At 41.0% G+C, this 12,338-nt stretch overlaps 1 annotated feature.

Moving 5' to 3' along the window:
• Window positions 4,232-4,731: an enhancer, noted in NCBI's record as "H3K27ac hESC enhancer chr2:19404229-19404728 (GRCh37/hg19 assembly coordinates)". NCBI's record gives its function as "activates a minimal SCP1, AML or CMV promoter by ChIP-STARR-seq in naive H9 embryonic stem cells {active_cell/tissue: H9 hESC(naive)}" and the evidence as "EXISTENCE:reporter gene assay evidence [ECO:0000049][PMID:30033119]".

Genomic DNA, 12,338 nt, shown 5'->3' with positions numbered 1-12,338 from the left:
CATTTTCCTGTTTGTTTTAGGGTCTGATGCAAGATGATTTTTAAATTCTGTATTGTAGGAATTTAGTTCTTAATATGTCAGCTCCATCCCACTGAGTGTTCCATCAACACACAACCCAGTTATCTGCAGGGACCTTGACCCCAGACGGGTAGTCCCAGATGGAAGCCAGGACATTGCTTCAGGAAGAACTATGAAAAATGCACATAAGATACAAAAATGTGGATTATGTGTGAAACAAACAAAAGCACCAGGCAATGTGGAATTTATGTCAACAAAAGCTTGGTGCAAGCTGTTGCTTGCTTCTAAGATGGAAACAGACTCTGGTGCCTGGGGAACAGTAGCAGAGAAGGACTTTCTGCACAAAAGTTGCAAAAACAAAAGGGATGACCTGTTTTGACGATAATTGCTTTCAGGTCTTAAGCGCTCCTCTTTTCTGCATTTACCTCTCCCAGCATTTATAGTGTAGCTGGAGACGTCACTGATTACTGAGCCAGTCTAAGCCATGAGGATGGAAATTGCTGACATTTGTAATGTTTTGACATATTCAAGAGAAGAGAAAAATAGTCCAAAGAGTGGGGCTGCCAATCTTGTTGATTATAAACCAACCTTATGACTGAATGAGGCATGGCAAGGTTCTCAGAAAGATTCATGCACTGGAATCTCAGGAACTGACATACATCATGCTCCAGTTACAGGTCAATTACAATAGTATGACAATTTTTGTTATAAAATTATATATTTAATATTCAACAGAATATACAAACACATACAGATGCTAATTTGTATGTACAATAAAATATACAATTAAATATGCAAACATGCAAGTACTATGTTGATGTATAGTATTACATATATTATAATTAATACATAGTTATATGATGTATAATTATGTTAACATATATTTACTATGAACATTCAATATACAAATATTATGCAATTATACAATTAAAATATAGTATATTTAATATATAATTGTTTGAATTACCGTGTTGGACCCCACATTCCAATTACAGTATTAAATCTGGTGATATTAAACTGCACAGACTTTAGGTGTTACCAGCCAAAAATATTATAAGTTCTGATTTCCAAGTTAGCTATAGAAATCCAAAATTATTCCCCCACTGAGGGATATTTCTAGGTAGGAGACAACCAATATATACAGTTTTTTAAAGCAAATTATTTTCAGTGACTTAACACAATTTCCTTGTTCCTCTATGGATTGCTGCTGGAGCCCCTGGCACCTAAGTGCCGCAAGCCACTGGGTCAGATATACAGATGTATTTGACAACTCTCCACTTGTGTGCTGGGCTGGGTTGGCTCTCAGCCACTCTGCTACCACAGAACTGCCTTCCTGAGGTGTTCTGGGGAGAAAGAGCCCCATGCAGTCCAACTGGCAAGTCTTTTGCATAAATATATCTCCCTTTACAAGGCTGATGAAATTTTGTGGCCCACTGGCCACAGCCTCAACCCAAATCCATGACCGCCACACACTCTCCTTCATGTGGGAGGTACCGCTCCTGTTCTTGCTTCTTTAGACGGCTCCCAAGGCACAGTGCAGCCTCGTAAAGGGAGATTGCGGGTGGCAATCTGCCAGGTCTGGCGAAATGAAGCACCAGAAAATAGAGTTCGCCTTTGTGGAGAATACTCCGTTTAATTCCATTTCATTTAATCCAATTCATATTTAGTGAGTGACAACTGTATGCCAGATTCTGTGGAACTGCCTGTAGCCTGGACTTATTTTAATTTTTTCCCATTTCTAAGTCTTGATTTCTTCATTTATCAGGGTGTTATTGATAGTAATATGCCTCCCTCAGGATTCCAGTGAGGTTCAATGAGAATGCATATGTAGGGTATCCACCCCATTGCCTGGCACATGGTGGGCACATAGTAAACAGCAAGATCTCAGAGGTATCCCTCCATTGACCCCTAAGAATCATTCCAGGCATGGACAGAAGATCTGTAGGGAGAGTCTCTGTAGGGAGCGATGTAGATCGCTCCTCAGGACCACATTCCCGCATTGATGCAGCTGGGTTATACTGCAAACTTCATAGTGCTATGGAGAAATTACATGAGAGGATGCCTGCAAAATGCTTAACTCATACTTAATGCCCAGTACATTTCATGTGGTGTTATTACTATTACCTATTTATCAGACTATCTAGCTATACATCTATCTACAAATTTACTTTGTTATTACTGATAATTTTTTTCTTTTTTTTTTTTTCTCAAGACAGAATCTCATTCTATCACCCAGGCTGGAGTGCAGTGGTGCAATTATAGCTCACTGAAGCCCTGACCTCCCAGACTCAAGCAATCTTCCTGCCTAAGCCTCCAAGTAGCTGGGACTACAAGTGTGTGCCACCATGCCCAGCTAATTTTTGTATTTTTTGTAGAGTTCAGGGTCCCACAATGTTGCCCATGCTGGTCTTGAACTCCTGGGCTCAGGTGATCCTCCTGCCTCAACCTCCCAAAGTGCTGGGATTACAGGCATATTTTCTTGGCTGGAAGCCTCTTGCATTCTGGAGGTCCAATAGTGCTTCTACACCTCTGTTGGAACTTCCTGGCTCCTGAAAGAGTTTGGTCATTCCTTCCTCCCTTCCACAAACATTTACTGAGCACCTGCTAACTTCCAGATACTTTGTTAAGCTCTTAGGTCCCGAAGAAAGATTGGGCCACCTGAACTGGTCACATGGCAGCACCCCTGACTTCTAAAAGGTTATGGTTTGCTTGGGAAGACAGAGAAGTTAACACATAATTTCAGCCCCATGTAATAAATGCAGGGGCAGAGGTCACCATGGGGTGATGTGAGAGGACAGAGCAGGGACATGCACTTTGCTATGGGTCTGCTGGAAGGGGTGGCCAGGGACAATTCCTGGCAGGGAGGGCTCAGCAATTGCATATTGAAGACAATATTTCTCAATTCTTGAGACCTAAGAATCACTATTCATGCTTCTGTTCTAGAAGCCCCAAAGGCCGTGGCTAATGACCAAAAATGTTTGTATTTTGCCAGCCAAATATGCTTGGAAGGCAGAAAAGTAGGCTGGGCTTTCTGAGTGAGTTTCATCCCCATGGGCAGAAACATATCCTGGCGTTCCCCATGGTCTTCAGAGTAGCACTCAGGTCTGTCCACGGAGGGACAAGCCTGCAAGTCTGATGCCACAGTGGCCAGGGCAAGGAAGTTCACGAAGCCCTAGGCAGGAAGTGATAACCAAAGATATAGAAAGCCAATTGGCCCTCCATTTCTGTTATCTGGTGTAGAAAGTAATGCTCTGGATACCAAGGTTGGCTTCTTAGTTAATGCTTTGACCAAAGGCCAGTAAATCTTCCTCATGATTGCAGCAACATTTTCAAGAACCCCGACTTAGAAGCCTGTGGTGCCATCCAGGCCTATGCCTGAGATGGAATCTGGATGTGCCCTGTACCACATTTCTCCTGTCCATTTCTTGTTACTGTATTTTCCTCTGGTCCTTAATATCTGTGCTAATTTTCTGTTCCATTTTGTTCTCCCTCAGGAAGCCCTGAAAGTAACTTCAAATCTCATGAAAAGCCAAACAGCTAGCTCAGCTTTGGGGGTTCACAAAGAAGCAAATATTAGCTTTCCAAAATGAGGCACACATTCACTTCTTAAACTTTCATGCATATAATGTTAGACCCCAAGAAGGTGGTCTCTGCCCACTTTGAGGGTTCAGAGACCCTTGAGAATATATGAGCACTGAGATCACAACAGTGAGTCAGTATATTTGGTGGGGAGGGAATGGCCCCAGCTCCTCAGTTTTACAGCTAAGTGATCTATACCACCTTACTCTGCTGAAACTGACTTCAAGAAGAGGCTAAATGAAACCAGTTCCTTCTGAAGGGGATAACTGAGAAATTGAAATGAATTTGTTCAGAAGGACCTAGGACCTTCCTTCTAGTACTCATTTTTAATAGTGATAAAACTAGGGATCAGTAAAATGGAAGTAGGAAAAGCAGAATTATGAAGCCCATTTACTTGTATTGTACAACTGTTGTAGCCATTTAACATCTGGCTTCTCATTTGACCTACCAAGAGTGATGGTGTGGAGTGCAGTAATGAGACCATCACCTCCATCCTTCAGATGAGGAGGCCACGTTTTAATACTGCTATAGGGCACAGTCAGGTGTATACAGCTTGTCAGTGTAGCAGAGCAAGATTTTAATTCAAGATTTTAATTCAAGCAGAGCGAGATTTTAATTCTCTGATACAAAGCTCAGTAGTGTTTCCAGGATATAACTTATCCAAAACACATTTATTGAGCAACTGCCATGGCCCTGGCCCTGGGCTGGGATGTGGGAGAAAGGAGACTCCTGAGAGGAATATTAGAGGCAGACATAGTAAGGGCCATGAGTGCAAATTCAGGTCATGGGGCTCAGAGCAGCAGTGACCATCTCAAACCAGGGATCAAGACAGGCTTCAAAGGAGAAGAGGTCCTTAACCTAGGCACTGAGGATGGTCAGAATTCAGGCAGGAATTAAGGAAGCAGTGCTTACCCAACAGGACATTAGGCAAACTCATCACTACAGGGGCATCTCTTATGTGGCATTGCACAGTGTCAGAGGGACAGACAGTGTTCAGATGGATGTGAAGGGGGCTCAAAAGACAGCTGTCTTTGTGGGGATTTGGCTCCGGTGTTGTCAGTATCCCTTGTTGGCCTCCTTCTCAGGCCTTGTCCTGTTTTGTCTCTGGTACAGGGTGGTTTGGGCTGCTGAGACGTGGCATGTTGCTGATACTGGTGACAGTGGCCCTGAGCACAGTGTGGCTTCCCCAGCCTAGGTTCACAGGATGTGCCTCTTCCTCCTTAGCACTTAGCTGAACACCGCGAGAGGAGGCTGTAGAGCAGCTCCCTGGCCTCGATGCTGCTGTCGGGAGAAACACCAACCTTTTAGCAGTTTGCAGAGGCTCTCTTTTATCTGGGCTGTTCTCAGATGTGAAGGACACAGAGCAGAAGATGTCTGAAGGCCTGGTTAGCAGGGGGTGAGGGAGAGGAGGAGGGGGAACTGAAATTCAAAGCCAAGACCCTCATCAGCACTGCTCTGTGGCAGCTCATCAGTTCTCCCTCTTCTCACCCGCATGGGAGCCCATGCAGGCCTGCTCTTGCCTGGCTCTGGCCTCTGCAGCATCTGTTAGCAATGAATAAAGAAGAGGTGGAGGGGAGCAGGGCTATGGGTGGGGGCAGGAGGAAGGTCTACTTAAACACAATGTGTTTGCTCACACACATAAAACCACAGGCCTCCTGGAGGCGAGCACCCCGCCAGGCCCCCCTCATTCTTGAATTTGTTATTAGGAACACGCAATCTAGGCCGGCCTCAGTCCTCATTTCTTACATAGCGAGGGGCTTGGGTAAGGAGGGTTAGTTCTTAGGGCCTTTCCTGGGCTGACATCCTGTGTCAGAGGTGAGAGGTTTGCTGGCATAGTTCTGAGAACTGACCAGTCCTCACTCAGGCACATGGTGCTGCAGGACACACAACATCTCTAGTCTGTGAAGGAGGCTGGGTCTTCTCTAGGCTCCACAGAGGGTGAAGCAGACATTCTGGAGAAAGGTTCCATACAGCCCACAGGGGACATCTGATTCTCCACCTTGGCAGGTAAGATCTCCAGGCTCTGATGTCAGCTTTCCCATTATTCTCATTAAGTGGCATCATGTTTATTTCAAAGTCATGACCTCCAGGAAAATAAGAGGGAACAAGAACACTGAAAATGTCCCGAAGCCCAAGTTCAGTCACTAGAATATTTCTGGAAGCTGGACTGTTAAAGGTGATATTATATATGGAATGAAACAGTTCCATTATTTCTCTTAGCAAGTGACTCCCCTTAGGAAATTATTGAGAGTAGGCAAAGAGTTGGAACCTCCCCAAAGTCCCTCAGGATTATGAAATGGGAAAAGGAAACAAAGGCCCATCCTGCCCCCTCCTTTCTGTGCTCCTGAGGAATGAGTGTCCTCTCACAGGCTGTGCAGCTTCTGTGCTGGCCCCATCCATAGCAGGGCTCATGGCTGGATCTGAGACCCTCTGCTGGCCTCATCCATGGCAGGACACATGGCTGGACCCAAGACCCTCTGCAGACCTTACAATGAGAGAATGAAGAAACACACCTCACCTCGGACTTCTCATGCTCTGATGATCTGGTGACCAAGTTCTGAGAGATTCTTGCCAGGGTTTCTATTTTTAAGACCCTCCACTGCCTTTGGGTGGTGAGTAGGTGAGAGATAGGAAGGAAGACGGGCAAAGAGGAGCAGAATGGAATAAGACAAGGGAGTTAACGGTGTGGACATTTTGTATATCTGATTCAGAATGAAGTGACGAACCCACCAGTAGGTAGACTGCACACGAGTAGAAGTTAAAGCAGGGCACAGGACAGGGACACTGGTGCAGGGGAAGCCCCAGGAGCATTGTGAAGGGATGTAGCTACATCTCAGTTTTTGGCAGGGCAGTGCTGACTGTCCCCCAACTACAGCCAAAGGGTCATCTTTGCTGAGCAAGTTAGATACCCTGTGCCCCTGTTATAAACTCTGGAAGTTCTGCCATCACTGACCCACTATTGTGACCCTAGAAATTAGCCTGTTTCTAGGGTCCCAAGTTTCCCGCATATCTCTAAATTGGAGATTCCATTACCCAGACCCCTCTGCAGCCTTGGGGATTAATGAAAGCCTTGTTCACAAATGTCTCGGAATCCATAAAGGTTTAGATCGATAATTAACAAGAAGGAGAAGGCATAAACATTTCAAATATATATCAACTCCCTAATCTATAACAGCCAATAAGTCTAAAAACTGAGTGGCCACAATTTCCCTCAGTGACAGGCAGCCCATGCACTTTCAAAAGTAATTCTTCATTAGGCATAAATTACCACTTGGGGAAACCTTCCACGGATGCCATGGCTGTGGATTTATTAAGTGAAAATGAAACTTTTAAATAAATATCTGGAACAAAAAATGTATTTCCCATCTAATCGGGCCATGAGGCGGGAGTGTTTAAAGTGCTGTGGAGGCTGGACTTTGAGAGCAGAAACCTGGGCACATTTCTTTAGAAGCCTTTTTGCTGAGTCAGTCACTGGCATGCCATCTCCCTCTCCAACTCCCCAAACACCTGGATCCTCCTGACATTAGCCAAGAGCAATAAGGGCAGAGAAGTCCCTAGGGGAGAGCCTTCCCAAACCCTTAGGGAATCTGATAGGTTCTGAGGCATCTTGTTTCTCTAGGAAGATCTTGATTTGGGATCCGCAGTCAGATTCTCAACCAGGGGACTTCATGTATCCACCTTCCCAGCCAAATGTTCCTGCCAGCTTGTCTTCCCCTTAAGGGCAGAAGAAGCCAGTTCATTTAGTTCCTACGAAATAATCCTCATGAGAGACCAAGGGAAAACAAAATGTGAGACGGAAGGAACACATCAAAAATCTAACCAGCTCCACAGATATTTGATGGCATTCCTGTAGTGCAGGCAGCAATGCTCAGTGAACACTATTTGTCTCTCCAGCAGTGATTCTAGCCCTTCCATATTGTGGAGCTTCCTACTTCCAGTTTCAGGGTCCTGATTACATGATATAGATCATGGTCATTCCTACATCTCTTGCTAGAGAATGGTGTAAAACTCAGCCTAAGCTAATCCACCATGGGGCCTTTCCTGTTGGCAATAATTTATCTAGAAATGGGCAAGAAACATACTTTCAAACCATGAGCTGTAAGAGGATACTTTCTCGGGGCTTTTGGTAAAAAATTTCCTTAGACAAAAGGAAAACTTCAAGGACACCTGGTCTATTGCTGCTGTTGACAATCATGAGGAAGTGTTGGTATTGATGGGTATCCTGTGATAGCAAAGGGAACTAGCCTTAGGATAAAGCTGAATCTATGGCAGAGAGAACAGTGATGAAACCTAAACTGGTCCTTTATGACCTTGTAGATGGACTAGGTTAATCTTCTTTTCCCTTTGGAAATTCAAATTATAACACTGGAGCTCTTCAAGTACTATGAGAGATGGGGTATCTCAGATCGTTGATCCTTCCAGCTTATTACTGGAGGAGATGTCATGGCTAGAAACAGTGACAGTTGCGCTGAAAACCAGCTTTTCACTGGGGAAGAGACTCAGAATCACATAAAAAGAAATTGTCTCCTCTAAGTAAAACTCTTTATAAGTTTCTTTTTTTTTAATATTTTACATTCTTTTTTTATTTTTTTATTTATTTTTATTTTTATTTTTTATACTTTAAGTTTTAGGTACATGTGCACATTGTGCGGGTTAGTTACATATGTAAACATGTGCCATGTTGGTGCGCTGCACCCACTAACTCGTCATCTAGCATTAGGTATATCTCCCAATGCTATCCTCCCCACTCCCCCCACTCTACCACAGGCCCCAGAGTGTGATATTCCCCTTCCTGTGTCCATGTGATCTCATTGTTCAATTCCCACCTATGAGTGAGAATATGCGGTGTTTGTTTTTTTTTGTTCTTGCGATAGTTTACTGAGAATGATGATTTCCAGTTTCATCCATGTCCCTACAAAGGACATGAACTCATCATTTTTTATGGCTACATAGTATTCCATGGTGTATATGTGCCACATTTTCTTAATCCAGTCTATCATTGTTGGACATTTGGGTTGGTTCCAAGTCTTTGCTATTGTGAATAATGCCGCAATAAACATACGTGTGCATGTGTCTTTATAGCAGCATGATTTATAGTCCTTTGGGTATATACCCAGTAATAAGTTTCTACCTAGAATATTCCTGAACAGTCTCCTAGGAAATACAGAAGGATATTCTTGTAAGCAGAAGCCAATCAAAAAACTTTAATGGTGCTGAAACCTTAGAGTATTCGCAAAATTGTAAATCTTATCTGGGTTCAAATAGATCATGTTATAGCTTTTTTTTTTTCACTTTCTGGTCTCAAAAATGGTGATAGTTGATGAATTCTTTTTCTTGTTCAGAGTCCCTAACATAATACCAAAGACCGGGATACTTCAACATGCCCATTTTCTTTAACATTTTCAAAGAAAATATTCAACAGCCTTCTAATTTTCAGAATTGCAGGTCATTCTGGATCAATTTCACCACATCCGAATCCCTTAAGGAGTAAAAACACTCACAATAAACTGGGATCTCAAGAAAACAATTAAATATATTGGAAGAAAACCTCTGTGGTTTTTCTGTAAAAAAAAACCCATTACTACACATATGAGGGTAATGTTGACTCCCTCACTGGGAAAACTAGCATTGAACCCTTCTGGTTTGTGTCTGTTATCCCCCTGGGTTGCATACTTTGCTTTTCTTCCCTCTGTGACTGACACTGATCCCTACTTGACATCATCTGCAATACTGTTGATTCAATCATGAATAGAAAACTGTGAAGCAGGCCATTACTTTTATTTTAGTTCAGTGGGTATTTTGGAGTCCTTTCTGTGTGCAAGACCCAGTGCTAGATGCTCAGACCTCAGAGTGAATATGATGTAGTCTTTGTTCCCACAGTCTAGCAAGGCAAATACATAAATATCATAAATATAAAAATTGAATACATATAATCTATGCTAGGATAGTGGAAACACAGAAGAAGCATAGTTAAGCCTGCTGGGGTATAATTTTGGTGCACTTCCATAAAGGGTATCCTGTTAAAGGATAAATTTAAATTGGTCAGAAAAAACTGAGTAAATTGTATTGTCCACATTTCTAGGCAAGCGGGGACTATTTTAGATGACATTGCAGGTTGAGCATTCCTAATCCAATAATCTGAATTTCAAAATGCTCAGAAATCTCAAACTTTTTGAGTGCCAGTATGAATCCATAGTGTACATTTTCACATCTACTTTGATGTGATGGGTCATAATCAAAATGCAGGTACACAACACAGCTCATTCAGTTTGCCATTGTTTGTTGTTGTTGTTGCCTAACAGCTGATTCAGGTTTTCTGGTGATGCTGCTGTGATGCTTAGTTACCCTGCACACATTACTTTTGCTCTCTATTAATAGTATGTCATATTTTTTACTATTAAGTACTTATGTGTATGTGTGAATAAGTGTAAGAAAGTGACTGTTTATGAGTAGCATATAAATTCAGAGTCAGAAATGATGGTGACACCAAGCAACCACAGATGGTTCACATGAGTGGCTGAGACGGTGATATCTTTGCTTTCTGATGTTTCAATGTACACAATTGCTTTATGCACAAAATTATTAGAAGTATTGTATAAAATTATCTTCGGGCTGTGTGTATAAGGTGTATATAAAACATAAATGAATTTCACGTTTAGACTTGGGTCTCATCACCAAGACATATTATTATGTATATGCAAATATTTCAACATTAAATAAAAATCTGAAATCTCAACTTCTGGTCTCAAGCATTTCTGAGAGGGAATACTCAACTTGTACTAAGTAAAAATCCACCTCAAAACTTAATGGATTAACAAAACAATATTGTAACAATTATTTTGAAAATAAATCTGCAAATTGAGCAGAGCTCAGCAAGAATGGTTTATCTATGTTCCGTGTGGCATCATCTGGGACAGCTCAACTAACAGCTGGAGCATCTGCTTCCAAGATGGTTCACTCACATGAATGACAACTTAATGCTGACTGTTGGCTAAGAGGTCAGCCACAGCTGTATACTGGGAGCCTCAGTTCTCCACTGTGGACCTCTCCACAGGCTGCTTGGGCTTCTTCCCAGCATGGTGGCTGGCTTCCAAGAGTGAACATCCCAAGTGAAAAAAGCAAAAGACAAAGATATTTTTATTACTTAGATTTGCTAGTCACATAATATTATTCCCACTGTTCTTTATTGATCAAAGCAGTCACAAGATCCTGCCAAGGTCCAAGGAAAGGAGATATAAATCCCATCACAAAATGAAAGAATTGTCAAAATCACATAATAAGAGAAACATGTGAATGGGAGATATTATTGTGGACTCTATGAAAACTCAATTTGTCAGAGTTTTATTTCATCCTTCCAATATGTTTACCTTTTATTTCCCTTTTTTGGGGTCTTATTGCATTAGCTAGAACTTCCAGTACAATGTTGAAAAGAAATGGTGAGAGGAGGACATCCTTGCCTTGTTCCTGATTTTAATAGAAAACTTTTGAGTTTCTCACTATTAAGTATGATGTTAGCTATAGGGTTTTTTTGGTAGATATTCTTTATTAAGTTGAGAAAGTTCACCTCTATTCCTAGTTTAGTAAGAATTTTTAAGAATCATGAATAATTGTTGGAATTTGTCAAATGCTTTTTCTGCATGTATTGATATGATCATGTGATTTTTCTTTTTAGCCTGTCGATGGGATTAATTACATTAATAGATTTTTAAATGATGAACTAGACTTACCTGCCTGGAGTAAATCCCACTTGGTCATGGTGTCTAATTTTTTGTATTCATTGTTGGATTTGATTGATTAACATTTTGTTGAGAATTTTTGCATCTGTGCTTATTAGATATAACATTCTGTAGTTTTCTTTTCTTGTAATGTCTTTATCTAATTTTGTATTGGGTTAACGCTGGCCTCATAGAATGAGTTAATAAGTGGTCCCTCTACTTCTATCCACCAAAAGAGATTTTAGAGAATTGGTATAATTTCTTGTTTTAATGTTTTCTGGAATTAGTTAGTGAACTCTAATGAGCCTGGTGTTTTCTGTTTTGAAATTATTGATTCAATTTCTTTAATAGATACAGGTTTATTTAGATTGTCTATATTTTTGTGTGTGCTGCTTTTGGCAGTTATATCTTTCAAGGAATTGGCCAATTTCACCTAGGTTGTCAAATATGTTGGCATAGAATTGTTCATGTTGTTCTTTTATTATCTTTTTGATATCCATGGGATCTGTAGTAATGTCTCCTCTTTTATTTCTATTTTTTTTTGATAATTTGTGTCCTCTCATTTATTTGATTAGTTAACTTGGTTAAAGACTTATCATTTAAAAAATATCTTCAGAGAGCCAGCTTTTGGTTTCTTTTCCTTGATTTTTCTCTTTTGATTTGTTGTTTTCAATTTCTTTGGATTCTGTTCTAATTTTTACTATTTCTTTTCTTGTGTTTACTTTGGATTTAACTTCCTTTTTATTCCTTAGTTTCCTGAAGTGAAATTTAGATTATTGATTTGAGATCTTTCTTCTTTTCTTATATGTGCATTCAATTTGTAAATTTGTTTCTAAGCCCTGCTTTCTGCTGCATCCCACAAATTTTGATAAGTTGTTTTAATTTAACTTTAATTTAAAATGTTTTTGAACTTTTTTCAGATTTCTTGTTTAACCTATGTGTTATTTAGAACTCTGTTGTTTAAACGCCATCTATTTTGAGGTCTGCTAGCTACCTTCCTATTAATAATTTGTAGTTTAACCTGGA

The sequence above is a fragment of the Homo sapiens genome, chromosome 2 (assembly GCF_000001405.40).
Source record: "Homo sapiens chromosome 2, GRCh38.p14 Primary Assembly".
Taxonomy (NCBI): Eukaryota; Metazoa; Chordata; class Mammalia; order Primates; family Hominidae; genus Homo; species Homo sapiens.
The sequence above is the reverse complement of the archived record's forward strand: the minus strand, read 5'-3'. Positions and strand labels throughout refer to the sequence as shown.